The sequence below is a fragment of the Homo sapiens genome, chromosome 6 (genome assembly GCF_000001405.40).
Source record: "Homo sapiens chromosome 6, GRCh38.p14 Primary Assembly".
Lineage (NCBI taxonomy): Eukaryota > Metazoa > Chordata > Mammalia > Primates > Hominidae > Homo > Homo sapiens.
Genome location: NC_000006.12, coordinates 149593060 through 149618135, shown reverse-complemented (window position 1 = coordinate 149618135; position 25076 = coordinate 149593060). Strand labels below are relative to the sequence as shown.

General features: G+C 41.5%; 1 protein-coding gene, 1 non-coding gene and 1 pseudogene across 8 annotated transcripts in view; 1 reads left to right on the top strand and 2 right to left on the bottom strand.

Annotated features, from left to right (window-relative positions):
• Positions 1-23263, top strand: part of KATNA1 (katanin catalytic subunit A1) — a 54118-nt gene extending 30855 nt beyond the window's left edge. For 4 of the 6 annotated variants that reach the window (XM_005266804.3, NM_007044.4, XM_017010207.3 and 1 more), the window contains 7 exons: positions 13354-13475; positions 14763-14868; positions 16384-16542; positions 19786-19912; positions 20495-20629; positions 20947-21073; positions 22902-23263. In XM_005266804.3, the coding sequence (XP_005266861.1) occupies positions 13354-13475; positions 14763-14868; positions 16384-16542; positions 19786-19912; positions 20495-20629; positions 20947-21073; positions 22902-23100 (975 nt within the window). In that variant the 3' untranslated portion in view covers positions 23101-23263. The remainder of the gene's footprint in view (positions 1-13353; positions 13476-14762; positions 14869-16383; positions 16543-19785; positions 19913-20494; positions 20630-20946; positions 21074-22901) is intronic. The other 2 variants (XM_047418111.1, NM_001204076.2) reach the window with 2 other exon arrangements.
• A 113-nt stretch (positions 23264-23376) lies between these two features.
• On the bottom strand, positions 23377-23511 carry LOC124901526 (small nucleolar RNA SNORA2/SNORA34 family). Its single transcript, XR_007059950.1, has one exon. It is a non-coding gene; the product is annotated as a small nucleolar RNA SNORA2/SNORA34 family (small nucleolar RNA).
• A 22-nt stretch (positions 23512-23533) lies between these two features.
• RPS18P9 (ribosomal protein S18 pseudogene 9) lies at positions 23534-24520 on the bottom strand (annotated as a pseudogene). The gene has a single exon (NR_077247.1). The product of NR_077247.1 is annotated as a ribosomal protein S18 pseudogene 9 (transcript).
• Positions 24521-25076: the final 556 nt, after the last annotated feature.

Here is a 25076-nt window from a genome sequence, read left to right as displayed (position 1 = left end):
GTCACCAGGCTGGAGTGCAGTGGTGCGATCTCAGCTCACTGCAACCTCCGCCTCCCAGGTTCAAGCGATCCTCCTGCCTCAGCCTGCCGAGTAGCTGGGACTACAGGCATGTGCCACCATGCCCAGCTAATTTTATATATATATATTTATTTATTTATTTATTTTATTATTTATTTATTTATTTATTTATTTATTTTTGGAGACAAGAGTTTCACTCTGTCACCCTGGCTGGAGTGCAGTGGCACGATCTTGGCTCACTGCAACCTCCACCTCTCAGGTTCAAGCGATTCTCCTGCCTCAGACTCCCAAGTAGCTGAGACTACAGGCGCAGGCCACCATGCCCAGCTAATTTTTGTGTTTTTTAGTAGAGACGGGGTTTCACCATATTGGTCAGGCTGGTTTCGAACTCCTGACCTTAGGTGATCCACCTGCCTCGGCCTCCCAAAGTGCTGGGATTACAGGCGTGAGCCACCTCGTCTGGCAATATTTTGTATTTGTAGTGGAGACAGGGTTTCACCATGTTGATCAGGATAGTCTCGATCTCTTGACCTCGTGATCCGCCCGCCTCGGCCTCCCAAAGTGTTGGGATTACAGGCGTGAGCCACTGCGCCTGGCCAGTGTTTTATAGTTTTTAGCACATGTCATATATATGTCTTGTTAGCTTTTATACCTAAGTATTTCATTTTTGTAATGATTGTAAACAGTGATGTATTTTTAATTTCAGTCTGTATGTTAATTGTTAAGCTATAGAAATTCAACTGAGTTTTAAAAATTATTTATTTTTTAAAAGTTGTGGCAAAATATACATAACATAAAATTTACCATTTAAAATATTTCAAGTGTGCAGTTCAGTGGTATTAAGTAGTACATTCACATGTTCCACTAGTTGTGGAATCATCACTACTGTCTATCCACAGAACATTATTTATTTTTCAGAACTGAAACACTACACCCATTAAAGTCATCATTCTTATCATTCTCCCCTTCATCCCAGACCTTGGTAACCACCATTCTGTTTCTCTATGAATTTGACTATTCGAGGTACCTCATCTGAGTGGAATCATACAGTATTTTCCCTTTTGTGACTTACTTGTTTTACTTAGCATAGTGTTTTAGGGATTTTGCCATGTTGTAGTATGTCAAAATTTCCTTCCTCTTTAAGGCTGAGTGCTATTCCATTGCATATATATTTCATGCTTTGTTTATCATTCATTTGTTGATGTACACTTGGGTTGCTGTCACTGTTTGGCTTTTGTGAATAATGCTGCTTTGAATATGAGTGCACAGATATTTCTCCAAGACCCTGCTTTTAAGATTTTTGGATATATACAAGAAGTGGATTTGCTGGGTCATATGGTAATTCCATTTTTAATTTTTTTTTTAAGACAGAGTCTTGCTCTGTTTCCCAGGCTGGAGTGCAATGGCGCGATCTTGGCTCACCGCACCCTCCGCTTACCGGGTTCAAGTGATTCTCCTGCCTCAGCCTCCCAAGTGTCTGGGATTACAGGCACCCGCCACCAGGCCCGACTAATTTTTTTAGTAGAGATGGGGTTTCACCATGTTGGCCAGGCTGGTCTTGAACTCTTGACCTCAGATGATCTGCCCGCCTTGGCCTCCAAAAGTGCTGGGATTACAGGCATAAGCCACTGCATCCGGCCTCATTTTTAATTTTTTGAAGAATGACAAAACTGTTTTCCACAGTGGCTGCACCATTTTATATTCCTACCAGGATTACAGTTTCTCTACATCCTCATCAATGCTTGTTATTTTCGGGTTTCTTTGATAATAACCATGTAATTGGGTGTGAAGTAGTATCTCATTGTGGTATTGATTTGCATTTTCCCAATCATATAGTTGACATTTTTCCCAATAATATAGTTGACTTTTTTGCATATAGTAAAATGCACATAACATAAAATTTACCATTTTAACGGTTTTTAAGTGTACGGTGCAGTTGTACTAAGCGTATCAACATTGCTATGCAGCCATCACAACCATTCATTTTCAGATCTCTTCATCTTGCAAAGCTGAAACTCTGTACTCATTAAACAATAACTCACCATTCACCCTCCCTGCAGCCCCTGGCAACCACCATTCTACCTCCTCTCTCTGTGAATTCGGCTACTTATGTAAGTGGATCATATGGCATTTGTCTTTTTGTGACAGGCTTATTTATAGCCGTCCCTGCTATCTTTAGGTTACTGTTTGTGTGGAGTATCTTTTTTCATTCTTGCACTTTTAACCTATTTGTGTGTCTAGATCTAAAGTGTCTCTTGTAGACAACATATAATTGGTTCATGTTTTTTTATTTTAAAATTTATTTTATTAATTAATTTTAGAGACAGGGTCTGACTGTGTTGCCCAGGCTGGAGTACAGTAAATATTCACAGTGTACTATATCATAATGCACTAAAGCCTCAAACTCCTGAGTTCCAGTGATCCGCGCCCCTACCCAGCCTCCCAGGTAGTTGAGACTATAGGTGCACACCCTGTCAGTTTTTTGTCCGTTCTGCCAGTTTGTCTTTTGATGGGAGGGTTTAATCCATTTAAGCCAATTACTGATAAGGAGGGACTTCTGTTATTTCAGTCTTTATATGCCTATCTGTCTTTTTCCTTAATTTTCTACATTACTCGCCGGGGATGGTGCTCATGCCTGTAATCCTAGCACTTTGGGAGGCCAAGACAGGCAGATTGCCTGAGCTCAGGAGTTCGAGACCAGCATGGACAAGATGGTGAAAGCCCGTTTCTACTAAAATACAAAAAATCAGCCAGGCATGGTGGCGGGCACCTGTAATCCCAGCTACTCAGGAGGCCGAGGCATGAGAATCTCTTGAACCCGGGAGGCAGAGGTTGCAGTGAGCCAAGATTGCACCATTGCACCCCCAGCCTGGACGACAGAGCAAAACTCCATCTCAAAAAAAAAAAAAATCAAAACAAAAAAATAATTTTCTACATTACTGTCTTCTTTTGTGTTTAGTTGTTTTTTTTTTTTTTTTTTTTTTTGAGACAGAGTCTTGCTCTGTCACCCAGCCTGGAGTGCAGTGACACAATCTCAGCTTACTGCGACCTCAGCCTCCCAGGTTCAAGCGATTCTCTTGCATCAGCCTCCTGCATAGCTGGAATTACAGATGTGTGTCACCACACCTGGCTAATTTTTGTATTTTTAGTAGAGACGGTTTCACCATGTTGGTCAGGCTGGTCTCGAACTCTTGACCTCAAGTGATCCACCCGCCTCACCTCCCAAAGTATTGGGATTACAGGCGTGAGCCACTGCGCTAGGCCATTTAGTTGAGTTTTTGCAGTGAAATGTTTTAATTCCCTTCTCATTTTCTTTTGTGTATATTTGTATATTTTATAGCTGTTTTCTTTGTGGTCTCCATGTTTCTCAGGCTGGTATATGGTGGCAGGATCGTAGCTACTTGTAGACTCAAGTTTCTGGGCTCAAGCAGTCCTCCCACCTTAGCTTCCTGAGTAGCTGGGACTACAGGTGTACACCTCCAAGCTTGGCTGATGTTTTCATCTTTTTTGTAGAGACAGGGTCTCACTGCATTGCCCAGGCTTGTCTCAAATCCTGGCCTTAAGCAATCCTTGCATTTCAGCGTCTCAAAATACTGGGATTACAAGCATGAGCCAACCATGTGTGACTCACAGAGACTTTAAAAATTCCCGTGTGTGGTTACTTTTGAATTTCCTAGACTTTAAATGTCTATTTCCCCAAAAGGGAAAAAAGAGAAAAATGAAGGGGATGGGGGAAATAAAAGGTCGGTGGCCCTTTAACTCTCCTGAAGTTGCTTCAGCCTGAAGGGGAAGGGCTTGCAACAATGGGAGGAGGGGTGCAACCATAGCTGCCCCTGTGACTGCAAGGTCAGAAGCTGCATTCGGCAATCAAAACACACATACCTAGTTTTTGGAGGACAGGGTCCTTTTTGACCATCCTGGCTCCTGTGAACTGCCTGCAGACTACTCCAGGAGCACGTGTACAGTTGCCTACTAAGGGCCTACGGGCTGAGTTGTTTATTCCATTTTGTGCTGCTATCACAGAATACCACAGACTGGGTAATCTATAAAGAACAGGATTTTTTTCCCTCACAGTTCTGGAGGTTAGGAAGTCCAAGATCAGGGTGCTGGCATGTTCAGTTGTTTGGTGAGGGCTGCATCCTCTGGAGTAGAGGAACACTTTGTTCTCACATGGCTGAAGGAATAAGAGCAGGAAATCCAAATGCTGTGTGATACCTCTTTGTAAGGGCCTTAATCCCATTCATGAGGAAGGAACCCTTGTGGCATAATCCCCTCTCAAAGGCCCAACTTTTAATACTAGCACATTAGCTACTGAGTTTCAACACCTTGCTTTTGGAGGGACACATTAAAACCATAGCAGTAGCTGGGCTGAAATTAACCAGAATTAACCATAATTTGTCATTTACTATCCAGGTTTCCCCCTGGAAGTTGCAGTCCTCCCAATAGACTCCAGAGTTCCTAAATAGTTGCATCAAACAGATTCTGCAGGTGCAGTTTTTGTTTAGGTGGAAATACAGATTCTTGATGCTTCCTACTCTGTCAGTCTTCCACGATCCTGTCCCAATAATTGATTTTTATATGTTTATCTTCTATCTTGTCAGCTTAATACTATGCTAGAATTGTTCATTCTAGGAGAATTTTTGTAGATTCCTTAGTATTTTCTGTGTGGACAATTATGTTATCTGCAAATATTTCTGTATTTTTGGATTTCTATGCCTTTTATTTCCTCTTCTTACCTTATTGCATTGGCTAGAACTTCCAGTACTATGTCAAATATTTAAGAGTGACAAAGTAGATGTCCTTGCTGTGTTCCTGTTCCTGATTTTAGGAGGAAAGAATTCAATGTTTCATCACAGAGAGTATAATGTTAGCTGTAGGTGAGGTGTTTTTGTAGATGTTCTTTTTTTTTTTTTTTTTTTTTTTTTTTTTTTTTTTTTTGAGACAGAGTCTCGCTCTGTTGCCCAGGCTGGAGTGCAGTGGCGTGATCCCCACTCACTGCAAGCTCCGCCTCCCGGGTTCACGCCATTCTCCTGCCTCAGCCTCCCGAGTAGCTGGGACTACAGGCGCCCGCCACCACACCCAGCTAATTTTTTGTATTTTTAGTAGAGATGAGGTTTCACCGTGTTAGCCAGGATGGTTTTGTGGATACTCTTTATCAGGTTGAGGATATTCCCTTTAAATTCTATTTTTCTGAGAGCTTCTGTCCTGGATAGGTATTCAGTTTTAGCACATGCTTTTCTGCGTTTGTTGCATGATCACATGGGTCTTTTTCTTTAGTCTCTTAATATAGTGGATTATATTGATTAATTTTTGAACATTGAACTAGTCTTATGTCCCTGGAATAATTCTCACTTGGTCATGGTATGTAATTCTTTTTATATCTTGCTGAATTCTATTTGGTAATATTTTGTTAACAATTTTTGCATCTGTATATTCATGAATGATACTGGTCTATAGTTTTTCCTTTGTTTTGTTTTTTGGAACTGTCTTCATCTGATTTCAGTATCAGGGTAATATAGCCTTTTATAAAATGAATTGAGAAATTTTCCTTCTGTGCTCTGGAAGAGTTTGTGTAGAATTGATTTAATTCTTTTTTAAAAATTTTTTTTGAGACAGGGTCTCACTCTGTCACCCAGGCTGGAGTGCAGTGGCGCGATCTTGGCTCACTGCAACCTCCGCCTCCTGGGTTCAATAGATTCTCGTGCTTCAGCTTCACGAGTAGCTGGGGTTACAGATGCGTGCCACCACGCCTGGCTAATTTTTTTGTATTTTAGTAGAGACAGAGTTTCACCATGTTGGTCAGGCTGATCTTGAACTCCTGACCTCAGGTGATCCACCTGCCTCGGCCTCCCAAAGTGCTGGGATTATAGGGGTGAGCCACCACGCCGGGCCTTAATTCTTTTTTAAATGTTTCTACAATGAAACTACCTGGGCTTGAATATTTCTTTAAAACTATGAATCACCTTCATTAATAGTTATGGTACTGTTCAGATTATCTTCTTTTATTAGGTGAGTTGTGGTAGTTTGTGATTTTCAAAGAATTAGTCCATTTAATCCAAGTTGTCAAATTTATGTATGTAGCATTTTTGTAGGATTCCTTATGCTTTTTTTATTTTTTGAGATGGAGTCTCGCTTTGTCGCCCAGGCTGGAGTGCAGTGGCATGATCTTGGCTCACTGCAAGCTCCGCCTCCTGGGTTCACACCATTCTCCTGCCTCAGCCTCCCTGAGTAGCTGGGACTACAGGCGCCCGCCACCACACCCGGCTAATTTTTTGTATTTTTAGCAGTGACGGGGTTTCACCATGTTAGCCAGGATGGTCTCGATCTCCTGACCTCGTGATCCACCCACCTTGACCTCCCAAAGTGCTGGGATTACAGGCATAAGCCACCATGCCTGGCCATATTCCTTATTCTTTAAGTGCTTGCAGGTCTATAATGATAGCTCCTTTTTCATTCCTTATACCAGTAATACGTGTTCTCTGTCCTTTTTGCATTGTCAGTATTGCTAGAGGTTTGTCAATTTTTAATCTTTTTAAAAGACTCCTTTGTTTCATTGAATTTTCTCTATAGTTATTCTGTTTTTAACTTTATTGCTTTTTGCTCTTATCAATATCTTTTTTTTTCTTTTTTCTTTTTTCTTTTTTTTTTTTTTTTTGAGACAGAGTTTTGCTCTTGTTGCCCAGGCTGGAGTACGATGGCGCCATCTCAGCTCACTGCAACCTCCACCTCCCAGGTTCAAGTGATTCTCCTGCCTCAGCCTCCTGAGTAGCTGAGATTACAGGCCCCCGCCACCACTCTCAGCTAATTTTTGTATTTTTAGTAGAGACAGGGTTTCGCTGTGGTGGGTAGGCTGGTCTCGAACTCCTGATCTCAGGCAATCCCTCCTGCCTTGGCCTCCCAAAGTGCTGAGATTACAGGCGTGAGCCACTGCACCTGGCCTATTATTTTCCTTTTTAGCTTTGAGTTTATTTTGTTCTTTTCTACATTCATGAGGTAAAAGCTTAAATGATTATTTGAGACTTTTTTGTTTGTTTCTGAGACGGAATCTTGCTCTGTTGCCTGGGCTGGAGTACAGTGGTGCAGTCTTGGCTCACTGCAACCACCACCTCCCAGGTTGAAGCAATTCTGCCTCAGTTTCCCAAGTAGCTGAGACTATAGGCGTGGAACACCACGCCCGGCTAGTTTTTGTATTTTTAGAAGAGACGGGGTTTTGCCACGTTGGCCAAGCTGGTCTCAAATTCCTGACCTCAGGTGATCCACCTGCTGCGGAGTCTCACTCTTATCGCCCAGGCTGGAGTGCAGTGGTGTGATCCCAAAGTGCTGGGATTACAGGTGTGAGCCACCATGCCCAGCCTGAGACTTTTTTTCTTGTCTAACATATGCATTTAGTGCTCTAAATTGCCCTCTCAGCACTGCTTTAACTGTGTCCCAGAAATTTTGATAAGTTGTATCTTTATTTTTCTTCAGGTCAGTGTGTTCTTTGATAGCCATTGAGACTTCCTCTTTGACCTGGATTATTTAGTACCATGCTGTTTAGTTTCCAATTGTGTGGAGATTTTCTTGTTTTCTTCCTGTTACTGATTTCTAGTTTGAATCTTTTGTGCTTTGAGAATATACTTCATATAATTTCAATTTTTTTAAACTTGTCTAAGTTTGTTTTTGGCTTAAGATATGGTCTGTTTTGGTATATGTTCTGTGAACACTTGAAAAGAGTATGTATTTTGCTGTGGTTAGGTGGAATTTTCTATAAATGTCTGTCGGATCCTTTGGATGGTGGTGTTATTGAGCTCTATATCCTTGCTGATTTTTTTTTTTTTTTTGAGATAGGATCTCTGTTGCCCAGGCTGGAGTGCAGTGGCACTGATCATAGCTCAATGCAACCTTGAACTCCTTCGGCTCAAGGGATCTTCCTGACTCAGTCTCCCAAGTAGCTGGGACTACAGATGTGTGCTACCACACCTGGCTAATTTTTTAATTTTTATTTTGTAGAGACAGGATTTTTTTTTTTTTTTTTTTTTGAGACGGAGTTTCACTCTTGTTGCCCAGGCTGGAGTGCAATGGCGTGATCTCGGCTCACCACAACCTTCACCTCCTGGATTCAAGTGATTCTCCTGCCTCAGCCTCCCGAGTAGCTGGGATTACAGGCATGTGCTACCACACCCAGCTAATTTTGTATTTTTAGTAGAGACAGGGTTTCTCCATGTTGGTCGGGCTGGTCTCCAACTCCGACCTCAGGTGATTCGCCTGCCTCGGCCTCCCAAAGTGCTGGGATTACAGACATGAGCCACCGCACCTGGCCTATTTTTTTTTTTTTTGAGATGGAGTCTAGCTCTGTCGCCCAGGCTGAAGTGCAGTGGCACGATCTCAGCTTACTGCAACTTGTGCCTCCGGGGTTCAAGTGATTCTCCTGCCTCAGCCTCCCGAGTAGCTAGGATTATAGGTGCCCATGACCATGCCCAGCTAATTTTTGTATTTTTAGTAGAGACGGGGTTTCACTGTGTTGGCCAGGCTGGTCTCAAACTCCTGACTTCGTGACCCACCCACCTCGGCCTCCCAAAATGCTGGGATTACAGGCCTGAGCCACCATGCCTGGCCGAGACAGGATCTTATTTTATTGCCCAAGCTGGTTCTTGAAGTCTTGAGCTCAAGCAGTCTTGCCACCTTGGCCTCCCAAAGTGCTAAGATTATAGGCGTGGGCCACCACACCTGGCCTGAGTTTTTTTCTTGAAAAAATACTTTTTTTTTTTCCTTAAAAAATACTATGCTACTTCCTCTGGCTTGCTTTTCTGAGAAGAAATCTGCTTTCATCTGAATTGTTTTTCCCTATAAGCAAGGTGTTGATATTCTTTCATTGCTTTCAATTTTTTCTGTGTCTTTGGTTTTCAGAAATTAAAGTATAATGTGTGTTGGCATGGAGTCTTTGGGGTGTTCTATTTGTTTCTGAGGCTATTTTTCTTCATAATCTTTCAAGTACATTCATAATTATTGAAGCATGTAAAAGGCTTTAAAATCTGTCAGGAAACTAACATCACTGTCATTTTGGTCTTGGCATCTGTTCATTGTCTCTTTACATTTAATTTGAGATTTTCATGGTTCTTGGTATGAGGAATTTTCTGTTGAAACCTGGACATTTTCATATTATATCATGAGACTCTAGATCTTATTTAAACCTTCTGTTTAGCTGATTTTTCCTAACATTGCTCTGGCAGAGAGATTGGGGTGCCACCGCTGCCAGGTGGGGATGGAAGTTCAGGTTCCCCAGCCAGCCTCTGTCGGCACCTGCCTAGGGGCAGAGGCCTTCTCATTACTGCTGAGCTGCGGTGGAAGTTCTCCACACGCTCTCCAGGGACACTGTGGTTGGGGAGTGGAAGTCTAGGTTCCCTCTATGATGTCCAGTGACTGTGGCGGGGAGGGGTGGGGGAGAGAACATGCAGGGGCTCTTGTTCATTTCATTTTTGGGAATGAAAGTTTCAGCTTCTTATTTAGCCTCTGATTCTACCCTGGTGGGGGTTTGAGGTAACTCACTGTAGGCTTCCAGAAGTAGAAAGTCCTAGGCCTTCCACCCTGCCTTTGCTGCCCTGGGTGGGGCCGGGGCCACAAGTCTTTGGTGGTGCTTGACTGGAGTAGAGTGTTACTGTCTAAAAGCTCTGTCTTGCTAGACTGCCCCTTCCTTGGTCCTTTGCCTAGAAAGAGCAAGCTTCTGTTGGGGTGTTTTTGTTTGTTCAAATTGGCGTATCCAGGTTGCCGGCTCTTCAGCCCCAAGTTTGGATATTTGAAAGAAAGAAAACCCAGGGAACTCACACCATGTTTGAGTTCCTTAGTGGCTCTGCTGGCTTCTTTGCACCTTTCAGAGTCCTCCTGTGTTTGTGGTATGTATAATACCCAAGGGTTTTAGCTCTGTTTAGCAGAAGAAATGCTGAAAAGTATGCTCCATCTTCCTGGAAATGAGAACCCAGCTGTCATTTTTAATTAACTCTTTTAATTGAGGTAATGGGTTTTGTATTTATAATTTTGCCAGCTTTAAAAGAACTAGTTTTTGTTTTTGTTTTTTTGAGACGGAGTCTCACTCTGTCGCCCAGGCTGGAGTGCAGTGGCCTGATCTTGGCTTACTGCAGCTTCTGCCTCCCAGGTTCAAGCGATTCTCCTGCCTCAGCCTCCCGAGCAGCTGGGATTACAGGTGTGAACCATCACACCTGGCTAATTTTTGTATTGTTAGTAGAGACGGGGTTTCATCATGTTGGCCAGGCTGGTCTCGAACTACTGACCTAAGGTGATCTGCCTGCCTCTGCCTCCCAAAGTGCTGGGATTACAGGCGTGAGCCACTGAGCCCAGCAAAAGAACTAGTTTTAAACCCAAGGACTTATGTCCTGATTAATCCGTCTATCTGAAACTTTATTTTGAGCATGAAAAAAGGAGTCTAGGTCCCTTTGAATCCCTCAACTGTTTTTTTCCACTTCCTACTGGTTACTGTTTTCACTTAGAACAAGTTATTGTTTGTTTTTATTTGAGATGGAGTCTTGTTCTGTTGCCCAGGCTGGACTGCAGTAGTGCAATCTCAGCTCAGTGTAACCTCCGCCTCCTGGGTTCAAGCGATTCTCCTCTCAGCCTCTTGAGTAGCTGGGACTACAGGCATGTACCACTATGCCCAGCTAATATTTTTGTATTTTTAGTAGAGAGGGGGTTTCACCATGTTGGCCAGCCTGATCTCGAACTCCTGGCCTCAACTGATCCACCCCCCTCAGCCTAAGTGCTAGAATTATAGGCATGAGCCACTGCACCTGGCCAGGAGCAAATTATTAGATAGATGTATATCTAAAAGAAATTGTACTACTTCAACTAATTAAGTAAAATCCTATTAAATATGTCAGCATTTGAAGTTCCACAGCTTTCTTTGGCTGTCCTATTACAACACTGTTTCTTTCTTCTGCCTACTTAAATTTGTTTTGCTTTGTCTGCGAACATTCCCTTAGTACTGTGTTCTATGGGAGAAAAGAAAGAGAAAGAGAAAATGCCTTATATTTGTATCTTCCCTGGCTTACAGTATATGTTCCTGATAGTCAGGTACAGTGTCCTTTTCCTGTTCTCCATAGCTGCTAACACAGAACAGATACTTGTTAAATATCTGTAAATGAGTAACAACTTTATAAATACTTTGAAGAAAAGATTATCTTCTTCTCTTTTAAATGTTACACAGTTCTGGCTGGGTGTGGTGGCTCACCCCTGTAATCCCAGCACTTTGGGAGGCTGAGGTGGGCAAATCACCTGAGGTCAGGAGTTCAAGACCAGCCTAGCTGACATGGTGAAACCCCATCTCTACTAAAAATATAAAAAGTTAGCCAGGCATGGTGGTACATGTCTGTAATCCCAGCTACTCGGAAGGCTGAGGCAGGAGAATTGCTTGAACCGGGGAAGCAGAGGTTGCAGTGAGCCAAGATCGTGCCACTGCACTCCAGCCTGGGCAACAAGAATGAAACTCCATCTCAAAAAAAAAAAAAAAAAAAGTTACACAGTTCCTTCCTTGAATCTTTTATGCTAATATTGGAGGCTCAATACACACATTGTGGAACTGATGCTTATTTGGCCATCTAGGTTAACATTTTGAATATCATAAATATTGGTTAAGTCTGGACATTAATAATGGCATTAGACAGCACCAGTTGGCAAAGGAATCATCATGTTACGTGCAAAAAAAATGTTATGGGAATTGGGTAACAATCTTAGTACGGCAGAAAAAATGTTTATTTACCCTAATGCAGGGCTTCATAAATTTTCTTGGCCTATAATATTCATAAGTATCTTAGTAATTTTTATATAGCATCTCTAGGCCAGGATACCCATCCACTTATGAAAAATACCTATCCATTTATGAAGAAGTTAGGTTCAAACAGTTTATGTTCTAGCAGTTTAACACCTATTGGGCCCTGTTACACAGTTTCTCAAACCCTGCAGTCAGAACGGACATTCTACCCTCATTCCTCTTCCACATTGATTTTCTCTCTGTACATCTTATCACAGCAACTGCCCAAAACCCAGCTTCACAAAAATATGGTATTATTCAGGCCGGACACAGTGGCTCACACCTGTAATCCCAGCACTTTGGGAGGCCGAGGTGGGCGGATCACTTGAGGTCAGCAGTTCAAGACTAGCATGGCCAACGTGCTGAAACCCCATCTCCACTAAAAATAATTAGCCGGGCGTGGTGGTGCACACCTGTCATCCTACTCAGAAGGCTGAGACAGGAGAATTGCTTGAACCCAGGAGGTGGAGGTTGCAATGAGCCAAGATCACACTACTACACTCTAGCCTGGGCGACAGAGTGAGACTCTAGCTCAAAAATAAATAAATAAATAAATAAATAAAGCATTATTGAAGAGGAGTATAGCAGTCTTATGTAGGAATCGTGAACTACCTCTAGCTAGTAGTTCACACAGTGTTCAACAGATGTTGCTGTGTTTCTTTCAAAAATTTAAACTATCCCACAATACCTCGTGAGTTTGCCATTGTGTCCTGGGTATTGAGTACATAGTTTGGGAACCGTGGCCCTAATGACTGTCATCACAGAGGATGAGAGGAATCCCATGTAAGGACTGAGATGTGTCTTTTGGAGGGTAGTGGGAATAATGAAAAGGGATATTTTTAGGAGCATTGATGAGGGACAAGTAGGTGTTTAAAGATTGAGCCATAGTCTTGGCTAAATAAGCCATCTGTCTTTAATCTTATCTCCTCTAAAGGATTGAAATACATTTTGTGTATATCTGATATTCACTTGCGACCACATTTATCTCAGTATTAATTTTTTTATGCTAGCCAGTTCATTTGCATGGTCATTTTTATTTTTCTTTGATACTTTTGATGTATCAAACCAATGTTGATGTAGAAGGATGACTTAGAGTCTTTGGTCCTATCCTTGTTATTGTATTATTATTATTAGCCTTTTTTTTTTTTGAGTTGGTGTCTCGGTCTGTCACCCAGGCTGGAGTGCAGTAGCATGATCTTGGCTCACTGCAAGCTCTGCCTCCCGGGTTCACACTGTTCTCCTGCCTCAGCCTCCCGAGTAGCTGGGACTACAGGTGCCGCCACCATGCCTGGCTAATTTTTTGTATTTTTAGTAGAGATGGGGTTTCACCCTGTTAGCCAGGATGGTCTCGATTTCCTGACCTCGTGATCCACCCATCTTGGCCTCCCAAAGTGCTGGGATTACAGGTGTGAGCCACTGCGCCTGGCCAAATGATGTATTAGCTTTTTAAAGGACGTCACTTGAGTCCAATCTGTGTTTCCGACTCACAGAAACAAAATAAATGAATCAAAAGCGCTTGTTTTTTTCTCTTCATGTAGAACAAATCACCTGCTGCAGTAACAGAACCAGAGACAAATAAATTTGATAGTACCGGATATGATAAAGACTTAGTAGAAGCTTTGGAAAGAGATATAATTTCCCAGAATCCCAATGTTCGATGGTAAGTTATATCACAACCAAATAATTGGGTGCTGGTGATGCTATTCGGAATGGAAAATGGAGCAAATGTGAGCATGTACTGAAGAGCAGAGCTTGAGGACAGAACCGGAGTATGTGCAGCGTGAGCATGACTTCCCTGCATTCAGCCTATTCCAATTTTTGTCTGAGAGTCTGAGGTTTTTGTTTTTGTTTTTTAGAGACAGGGTCTCACTTTATTGCCCAGGCTGGAGGACAGTGGCTCGATCATAGCTCACTGCAGGCTCAAACTCCTAGACTCAAGTGATCCTCCTGCCACAGCTTTCCAAGTAGCTAGGACCACAGGTGCACACCACCACATCTAGCTAATTTTAAAAAATGTTTTGTAGAGATGGAGTCTTGATCAGGCTGGTCTTGAGCTCCTGGGTTCAAGTGATCCTCCTGCCTCAGCCTCCCAAAGTGCTAGGATTACAGTCATGAGCCTTTGCACCTGGCCAAGGCAATGATTTGTATGTATGTGTGTTGCTTATTATCTATAGCATCCTAGAAATGTTGCTTTTATTTTCTTTTAGAGCAGTGGTTCTCAACTTGATTAATATTACATGTAATCAAAGATCTGTAATGTATTACAATGAGTTATAAAAGTTAACTTTTCCACAAAGTTAGGTATTTTATATTTCTGTTAAAACCTTAATGATTATTAGGTATGGGTTTGAATGATATTAAAAAATATTGGGGACATTAATATTTTATACAATGAAAATACTTTTTTTAACAGAAATTGCCACATGTAGCAGTAGTAGTAGGTATTCTAGTGGTTGGAGATGACTTTATAGTAATCTCTGTGATACTCTTTAACCTTGGCATCTACCTCTTAGTAAAGCTGGAGGCAAAGCAGCTATGTTGTAGCCTGTCTCTGCTTTATACGATTTTTATTCTTTATGCTTTTTTTTAGTTTTAAAATACATGGGCTCATTGTTTCTAAATCATGGAGATTATGGAATGAGGACCATAAGAGCAGGAGTTTAAAATGAGTTGACACATAACCCTGAAGAGTGTGCCTGTAGACTATGTTCTCGTGATCCAGGCTAAAAACTGTCAACCGCCAATAACTGAAGAAAAGGTTGTGCTCTTTATATATCTGCTGGTTGACATGGTGGGCCTCATCACAGTGCATTAGTTCACCCGGGCTCAGAGAGAGGCTCACCATTCTGTCAGCAGTGCAACATCATGTGCTTCCAGTGGTTCTCAAGAGTGACTGCATAGACATGTATCATCTAAAGGGTTGTTAATAAAATGTCTTCTCTTTCAGGGATGATATCGCTGATTTAGTAGAAGCTAAAAAGTTGCTTAAGGAAGCCGTAGTGTTACCAATGTGGATGCCCGAATTCTTTAAGGGCATTAGGAGACCATGGAAAGTAAGTTTATTACTGTGATGGCATTGTCAAAGTAAATGGCAGCATGTTGATACAGAGAGCCAATATTTATCTATATTGGGAAAAGTGGAGGGAGAAAGTGGAGTCAGGAAATGTTTAAATTAAAAGGTATATGTTGTGCTACTGAGAATTTTGTTAGACCAGAAGCTGTTGCATGATTCCTAGAATAAGAAATACATACAATGTGATCTTTGGAAAGTTGAATACACAGCATTAAAATTTAGAATTTGGCCGGGCGTGGTGGCTCACGCCTGTAATCCCAGCACTTTAGGAGGCCGAGGCGGGCGGATCACCTGAGGTCAGGAGTTCGAGACCAGCCTGACCAACATGGAGAAACCCCGTCTCTACTAAAAATACAAAACTAGCCGGGCGTGGTTGTGCGTGCCTGTAATCCCAGCTATCCGGGAGGCTGAGGCAGGAGAATTGCCTGAACCTGGGAGGTGGAGGTTGTGGTGAGCTGAGATCACGCCATTGCACTCCAGCCTGGGCAACAAGAGCGAAACTCTGTCTCAAAAAAAAAAAAAAAAATTAGAATTCACCCCATTTAGAATGAGCTCATATTTGCAAATATGACCTAGTCAGCTAATGCAAAAACACTCCATTTTATATGTCATGTTGCATGATTGTAACCTGTATTTTGGGGATTGTTCTCAATAAATTAATGAGAAATATCTGCATGTGATAAATACTTTTTAAAGTCATGGGCTGATCTAAAAAAAGACCATCAAAAAAGCTTTTCTTGGATTTGGAAAACACACTGATAGGTAACTCTGCATGTATGAATAGTTGTAAAAATCCTTTATACATTAAGTGATAAGCAAGATACAAAATGATAGATATACTTTGAATAAATTATATATATATATGTATTTTGTTTGTTTTGTTTTGAGATGGAGTCTCGCTCTGTCGCCAGGCTGGAGTGCAGTGCGATCTTGCCTCACTGCAATCTCCGCCTAACGGGTTGAATTGATTCCGCTGCCTCAGCCTCCCGAGTAGCTGGGATTACAGGCATGTACCACCACGCCCAGCTAACTTTTTTTGTATTTTAGTAGAAACGGGGCTTCACCATGTTGGCCAGGATGGTCCCAATCTCCTGACCTCGTGATCTGCCTGCCTCGGCCTCTCAAAGTGCTGGGATTACAGGTGTGAGCCACCATGGCTGGCCGAATAAGTTATATTTTTAAACAACCTAATTTGTCTGAGCAAAAGGACAATCAGGATATAAATCCAGATGCTAATGGTACCTCTGTTAGGGTGCTGATATTATAAACTACTTTTTCTCATCTTTGAGTTCCAAATTTTTCATAATGTGGTTATCTTCTTTTTTAACGGGAAGAGTAAATTTGTGACAAAGTATCCTCCTGTTTATCTGTTTGTCTTTTATTTGTCTTGATATTATATATAAGTTGGTCGAAATTTGCTACTTAGTAATGACACTTTTATGAATTAGAACAATGGCAGATAAATCCTCTGCTGAGGCTATTATATTCGCAACAGGGAGTACTGATGGTCGGCCCACCTGGCACGGGGAAGACGCTCCTTGCTAAAGCAGTAGCTACAGAATGCAAGACAACATTCTTCAATGTCTCTTCATCAACTTTGACTTCCAAATACAGAGGAGAATCTGAGAAGCTTGTTCGTCTTCTGTTTGAAATGGTGAATGTTTGAGACAGCTCTAATGATTCTTTACCTCTCTAAAAGGGGAGAAAGTGAGCTGTAACTATCTCCAGTATATGGAATAGTTAGGCAGGATGCCATTTTGCCCAGAGTATGAGTCCTATGCCCTTAAAGCTAGATTTCTTTACAAACATGAATAATTAGAGTTTCTCTTTGTCTCTTTTTCTCCAGATGTAGATCCAAATCTACCAGTTTTGGGGCATGCTCACATTATGGGATCTGCATTACTAATCTTCTGTAGGAATCTGAAATTATGTTTTTTAAATCAATAGGTTTAGTTATAATATGATAACCACAGTATTGTAACAATGATGCCAAAAGGTGAGAATCATAATTTATTGTGGAACTTAGGTCACCTCCGATCTATTAACTGCACCAAATGCCTTCATTTTAATGACCTAATCTTTGGATTAGGTTCTTTCTTCCACCAATACAAATCAGAGTACCAATAGAAGAAATGTAATTCAACAAGTTCTGGTAGAGTGTTTAGATTGAATTCCACAGCCTTTTAAACTTCAGACTTTGTTAAGCTTCACTGATTACGTCACTCTTGCCTCTAAGAAACAGAGTAGTTTTATGTAATTAGGATAGAGTTATGCTATTAGTGACAAAGACGTGAATCTTCTTTTTTTTGAAATGGGTTCTCAGTCTTGCCTAGGCTGGTATGCAGGAGCATGATCACAACTCGCTGCATCCGTGACCTCCCAGGCCCAAGTGCTCTTCCCATCTAAGCCTCCCAAGCAGCTGGGATGATGGACATGAGCCACCACACTCAGCTCATTTTTTTTTTTTTTTTTTTTTTACAGATGGGGTCTTGCTGTGTTGCCCAGGCTGATCTTGAACTCCTGGGTTCAAGTGATCCTCTTGCTTCAGACTCCCAAAGTGCTAGATTTATAGGCATGGGTCACCAATCCTGGTCAAGACATGAATTCTATTTTTTTTGACAGGGTCTCATTCTGTCACCTAGGCTGGAGTGCAGTGTTGCAATCTCGGCTCACAGCAGCCTTCACCTCCTAGCCTCAAGCGATCCTCCCACCTTAGCCTCCTGAGTAGCTGGGACTACACAAGTGCACTACCATGCCTGGCTAATTTTTGTATTTTTAGTAGAGATGAGGTTTTGCCATGTTGACCAGGCTGGTCTTGAACTCCTGACCTCAGGTGATCTGCCCACCTTGGCCTCCCAAAGTGTTAGGATTATAGGTATGAGCCACTGCGCCTGGCCTTTTTTGATTTTTTTGTAGAGATGAAGTCTCACTACGTTGCCCAGGCAGTCTAGAACTCCTGGCCTAACACTCCTCTTGCCTAGACCCCATAAAGTGCCGGGATTACAGGCAAGAGCCATTGTGTTCAGCTTTTTTTTTTTTTTTTTTTTTTTTTTAAGATAAGCTCTCACTATATTGCACAGGTTGTAGTGCAGTGGTTATTCACAGGCACAATCATAGCATACTGCATCCTCCTCTCTCAGCATCCCAAGTAGCTGGGACTTCAGTCGTGTACCACTGCACTCAGCTTTCAAGCCTTATTTTTATTGTCCTTAGGGTAATGAACTCTCAGCAAAGTTAGCCCTCATTTTGTCATAGTTCCAGCAAAAGTCCAAAGATTAATATTTGGCCTGTTTTGAGTTTCATACCTATGCCGAAACTCCTTGTTTTTGGTCAGAGAATTGGAGTGCTCTGATTGGCCAGGTCTGAATAAAACCCCTGGAGTTCCAAGTAAAGTTAGCCTCTTTTGAAGTAGTGGAATAGGAATGAGAGGGGCCCGGCATGGTGGCTCATGCCTGTAATCCCCGCACTTTGGGAGGTTGAGGCGGGCAGATCACTTGAGGTCAGGAGTTCGAGACCAGCCTGGCCAACATGATGAAACCCCGTCTCTACTAAAAATACAAAAATTAGCCAGGTGTGGTGGCGTGCACCTGTAATCCCAGCTACTTGGGAGGCTGAGGCAGGAGAATTGCTTGAACCGGGGTGGCAGAGGTTACAGAGAGAGGGAGAGGGGAGAGGGGAGAGGGGAGGAAAGAAAGAAAGGGATGATTTGCAAATGAAAAAGAGGCTTCTCTTACCAGAAGTGTGCTGTGCAGGGAGAACCAATTGGTGTCCTCTACCGTACCTTCCTGGGCCAGCTAAACCCAGGACACATAGCCTTTCCTTGAAGTCAGATCATTCTACATAACCTCAGTATGTGGGAAGAATCAGTCTAGTCACTTTTGCTTGGTGTGGCAACAGACTGAAGTTTAATTTTTGTTGATGTAGGTGCTTTTGATAGATGCTTCCTAAAATTTTAGTTGAGAATTTTCTTGGATGTTTTAATGATGATGAAGTTCACTCTTTCCCTCTCTCCATTTGTTGAAAAAGTACAAAAATATTTATACATAAAGACCCAAGTATTGACTCTCTTTAAAGATGAAATTATCCCACTAGGTACAGTGGCTCATTGTAATCCTAGCATTTTGGGAGGCCGAGGCAGGAAGATTGCTTGAGTCTAGGAGTTTGAGACCAGCCTAGGCAACATAATAAGACACCATCTCTACCAAAAATATAAAAATAAGCCTGGTGTGGTGGCACACACCTGTAGTCCTAGCTACTCGGGAGGTTGAGGTGAGAGGATTGCTTGAGCCCAGGAGCTCAAGGTTGAAGTGAGCCAAAATCATATCACTGCACTCCAGCCTGGATGACAGAGCAAGACCTTGCCTCTTAAAAAAAAATAAATAAATAAAAAACGGTTCATTAGAAGCCATATTTTAGCTGTTCTAATTCTATCCCATCTCCCCAGTATTAGCGTGAGAGAAAGATGCACAGTGTGGCAGGCTCCTTAGCTGTTTTGTTGTTTTCTTTCTTTCCTCTTGTTTTAGAGACAGGTTCTCACTCTGTCACCCAGTCTGGAATACAGTGGTGTGGTGTGATCATAGCTCACTGCAGCCTTGAACTCCTGGGCTCAAGGGATCCTCTCACCTAGCCTCCTGAGTAGCTGGGACTCAGACACGTGTAACCACACTCAACTAATATTTTAATTTTCTGTAGAGATGGAGTCTTGCTATGTTGCCCAGGCTGGTCTCGAACTCTTGGGCTCAATCCATCCTCCTGCCTCACCCTCCCAGTGTTGGGATTACAGGTGTGAGCCACTGTGCCCAGCCTCCCTCAGCTATTTTCTGATTGCTAATCTGTAGATTATTTTAAAATGAAATAATAGCTTAATAGCTTGATATTGCATGGTTTCTTCCTTTAGGCTCGATTTTATTCTCCAGCCACCATATTTATTGATGAGATAGACTCCATCTGTAGTCGCCGAGGGACTTCTGAAGAACATGAAGCAAGCAGAAGGGTGAAAGCGGAGCTGCTGGTTCAGATGGATGGTATCTGTGTTTAGCTTGAGTTGAACAGGGACGGGAGGTTGTTAGGTGTGGTGTCTCCAGTTCCAGTGGGTCAAACTTTACTCATAGTGCTAACCCAAGCTTTTAATAGGTATTCTTAACTTCAGATGGACTAGAGGGGGTGGCAAGAAGTTCCTGATAGTGATAGTAATAGATTTGGTACACTGACAGTGGTGACAAGTCAGAATTAATGGCCACACACAGGGCACCCTTTTGGTATATACAACTATCTTACTTTAGCTATGAAATTGAAATAAAAATAAATGCAGATAAATTGGCCTTAGAGTTTATGTACGCTTTGAAAAAGATTTAAAATTGTTATGTATTTGAGATCTGGCTTTTCGATTAAATCTATTTTGAGTCATATATTTGCATACTACAGAACTCATTTTCTTTGGATTACAAATTCACATAGGTACCAGTTAACCTAAGTCTTAAGGAGGCATTAAGACTGTGCTTCCTTGTATTGTTGTACTAAATAGTTGTTGATCTTTAAATAGCTGAGCTTCATTTGGTATAATCCAACTTAATATCTTTTTCACTCTCCCCTTACCCTTATTTTAGGTGTTGGAGGTACTTCTGAAAATGATGACCCTTCCAAAATGGTTATGGTTCTGGCAGCTACTAATTTTCCCTGGGATATAGATGAGGCTTTAAGACGACGCCTTGAGAAACGAATCTATATTCCTTTGCCGTCAGGTATCTTCCTTTCAATCTTGTCAGAAAGCCTGTTAACTTTCATGTAGTTTTGTTTAGAGAATTTAAAATTTGTTATTAACTAACTTTCTGGAAGAGATACATGAGGAGTATCTTCCTTTACAGTACTAGTTTGGCTATATGCCTTAATACTAAATAGTAAGGAATTAAAAAGTAAAGAATGGCTCTTTACTTAATTATCTCTTCTTAGAGATCCAATTCTTACTGGAAGACAACATCTCACACAAAGAAGATTTGAGACAATAGTATACTATGTTTATGCTGCAGGCTTACATTTTAAAATTTGTTTCTACCATTAGCAAAAGGCAGGGAGGAGCTATTACGAATAAGTCTACGTGAGTTGGAATTGGCTGATGATGTTGACCTTGCAAGTATAGCAGAAAACATGGAAGGTTATTCAGGTGCGGACATTACCAACGTGTGCAGGTATGAATTATCATGGAAGCATAGGTTTTTGTAAGCATAAACTTCTAGTATGAAGTTTTTTGGTTTTGTTTTTTGAGACACAGTCTCGCTCTGTTGCCTAGACTGGAGAGTAGAGGCGCAGTCACAGCTTACTGCAGCCTGAAACTCCTGGGCTCAAGTGATCCTCTGACGTGAAGTTTTTATGCTGAATTAAGACAGATCAATATCTTGGTGGTGGCTCACGCCTGTAATCTCAGCACTTTGGGAGGCCAAGTGGGAGATCACTTGAGCCCAGGAGTTTGACTGGCCTGGGTAACATTGCAAGACCTCATATCCATGAAAAAAATTTTAAAAATTAGCCGGGCATGGTGGTTCCCACCTGCTCAGGAAGCTGAGGCAGGAGGATCGCTTGAGCCCAGGAGTTTGAGGCTGCAGTGAGCCATGATTGTGCCACTGCACCCCAGCCTGGGCGACAAAGCAAGACCCTGTGTCCAAAGAAAAAAAAAAAAGATGAATAAAGACCCACATTCCAGTTTTGTTTTGTTTTTTGAGACGGAGTCTCGCTCTGTCACCCAGGCTGAAGTGCAGTGGTCCGATCTCGGCTCACTGCAACCTTTGCCTCCTGGGTTCAAGTGATTCTTGTGCCTCAGCCTCCCGAGTAGCTGGGATTACAGGCATGCACCACCACACCTGGCTAATTTTTGTATTTTTAGTAGAGACGGTGTTTCACCATGTTGACCAGGCTGGTGTCGAACTCCTGACCTCAAGTGATCCGCCTGCCTCAGCCTCCCAAAATGCTAAGATTACAGGCGTGAGCCACCATGCCCGGCCCCACATACATTTTGTAGTCAGGGTCACAAATTCTGGTTTTGTTGGTGTTAGCAGGTGCTGGTAAGATATCTGGTATCTTTCATGTCAGTGAAGAGTCTACAGTTCATTTGAAAGCTACAAGTTCAAGAAGCTAATGTTAGGATAAATTGTGTAAAATAGAAAATCAGTAATTGTCTTGGATTAAATAAATTGTTGGTGCCTTTGTTCACTATATTATAAAATACGAAATGACTGTGAAATATATTGACTTGGCATATGCACAGAATACAGTCTCATTCTCAGTGAACTTATCCTAAATGTGACAGAATAGCAGTAAAAAGAAAAAAAGAATGTCTTTAATCCAGCTGGTTCAAGTAGGTTTTGTCCTAATCTAAGTATTAGTAGAGACACTTAATTAACCAGGGGCTTGACTGCGCTCGTTTCCTCCTTTCTAAAGTGAGCATACCACACAGGGTTCTGAGGATTAAAGCTAAAGTGTATACATCAAACAGCTCTATTGCTATCCCTTTGCATAAATGGTGGCTGCTATTAAGGATAAAACTTGGTAAAAGGCAAGAGCTGTTTGAATCTGAAGTTTTGTTTTTTTTTTTTAACACAAATGAGAAAAGGAGAAACCCTGAACTTACCTAGCTTTTCCTCTACATGGAGAAAATATTTAATTTTCTTGTTAACAGTTTCTCTTCTCTTCTGACTCTGTGATGCTTATTCTTCATTTTATTGAATAGTTATAATGAAATTCAAATTGCTAGCTTTAACCCCACTTTTACTTTTTCTGGGATTTTATATTCAGTATTAATTATTTAAATTAGCATCCTTTTTCATTACAGAAGATTTAACTGCTTAAAAATCAATCACAACAGGCTTTGTATTCCAATAAGTTTCTATACAATACTACATATATATGTAATATAATTAGAGAATGCTACAACAGATCAATTGAAAATTTTTCTATTAACAGGTTTTCATTTAACCAAAGTAACATTGTGTGTGTTGTTGTTGTTTTTAACTTAAAACCTAGGGATGCGTCCTTGATGGCAATGAGAAGGCGCATTGAAGGTTTGACTCCAGAGGAAATCCGAAATCTTTCCAAAGAAGAAATGCACATGCCTACAACTATGGAGGATTTCGAGATGGCTTTAAAAAAGGTTTCTAAGTCAGTGTCTGCTGCAGACATTGAAAGATACGAGAAATGGATATTTGAGTTTGGATCATGCTAAATTCTCACATGTAAACTGTGAGAAATGTGCCTTAAGTGTTTGAATATTAAATGCAGTAATTCATTGTACTGAGTGCTATATTTTTTTTAACTTTCATAATGGTAAGATTTTTTTAAAAAAACCCTTATGATTCTGAATAAAGGCAATATTTTTAAGCTGAAAATTTGTTTTACTTTAGCATTACTAGATTTCTATTATTATTTCACTGACCACAAATGTTACTTAGCTTGGAAAGCTGTCTTTTTTTTCTTTGCTTTTTCTATTTTTTTCAAGACTGTTTGTTTCTTCTAGCTGAACTGGCCATTCATACTGGGATTAGCCAACAGACCATAAGAAAGACATCAATCTTGGCTCTTGTTTGAAACCAATAGCTACAATGGCAAACCATCACGTTTCTTGATTCAGGGCCTAGGAAAGCTGACTTTATATGCACTTTTTTTTTTTTTTTTTTTTGGTATATAAACTATTTATTAACAGACAAGGCCTACAGACTTACTTCTTCTTAGACACACCCACGATGCGGCCACGGCAGCCTGTGGTCTTGGTGTGCTGGCCTCGGACACGAAGGCCCCAGAAGTGACGCAGCCCTCTACGGGCCCGAATCTTTTTCAGTCGCTCCAGGTCTTCACAGAGCTTGTTGTCCAGACCATTGGCTAGGACCTGGCTATATTTTCCATCCTTTACATCCTTCTGTCTGTTCAAGAACCAGGCTGGCATCTTGTACTAGTGTGGATTCTGCATAATGGTGATCACATGTTCCACCTCATCCTCAGTGAGTTCTCCCGCCCTCTTGGTGAGGTCAGTGTCTGCTTTCCTCAACACCACATGAGCATATCTTCGGCCCACACCCTTAACGGCAGTGATGGCAAAGGCCATTTTCCGCCACCCATCAATGTTGGTGTTGACTACTCGGCAAAATATGCTGGGACTTTTCAGGGATCACTAGAGACATGGCGGCAGCACAAGTGGCGGCATGTAGGCCTCCTGTGGAAGAGAGCTATATGCACTTCTAACTTGGCATCTTCTCTCCTACTGTTTGCTGCTGTTACTCCTTCTAGGAAGAAAAAAATATTGGCTCTAGCTCCAGTTAACCTTACCCATTGCCTCTGGGTGCCAGCGGATAACTGAAAATCCCTGAACATTTTTACACAGTAGCTAATTAAAGCATGAGCCAAGCCCAGTATGTCTTCCTTCCCACCTGGTGTTATGGTAGCTTCCCTTCACCTCCTGGGAGAGTTTTAAAGACACATTTTACTTTGCATTTTAAAAAAATAAAATAAAATTCTTACTTGACTTTTATTTTGCCTATGTAAGAGGCTGCACTATAGGCAAATAGGCATTTCTAAACCTGTGCTGCTCATAGTACTCTAATCACTCATTAACTCATGCATACCAAACATAGCTAAAGTAAAGTATTAATGGTATGAGTTAATAAGTGAAATAAAAGTTAATGGTATAAAATTTTAGATAAGATTTCCATGTGTGACTACTTAGAAGAAAATAACTTACCATGTTATCCCAACCATAGAAAACAGAGCCTCAGGAGATTGCGGACCTTGCTGTGGTCCCAAGTCTTACTGAGAAAGACAGAAGCCTGGGTAGGGATCTTCTGACTGCAGAGCCTACACTCTCCAATAGACCATGTAGCCTCCTAAAGTTTTTTCTTCACTAGAATCTGTAAGCTTATGGTTAATAGATAAAATAAGACCATGTCATCATTTGGAGTTAGAACTGGTGCTTTCTAATGACTTAGGGAATGAGAAAGGGTGTAAAGAACAAGTGTTACTGGTTGGTAACTCAAGGATCAAATTGTAAGTTGCAGATTATTTTTTTCAGCAGTATGGAGAGAGTATTGCATAATAGAGCTCCATGCAATGTAATTAATTTAAAGTCTGGCAAAGTGAAACATCACTCCTTCATTCTACTTGTCATCCTCTCCACCCCCATCACACACATACCTATTTGGCCTAAATATA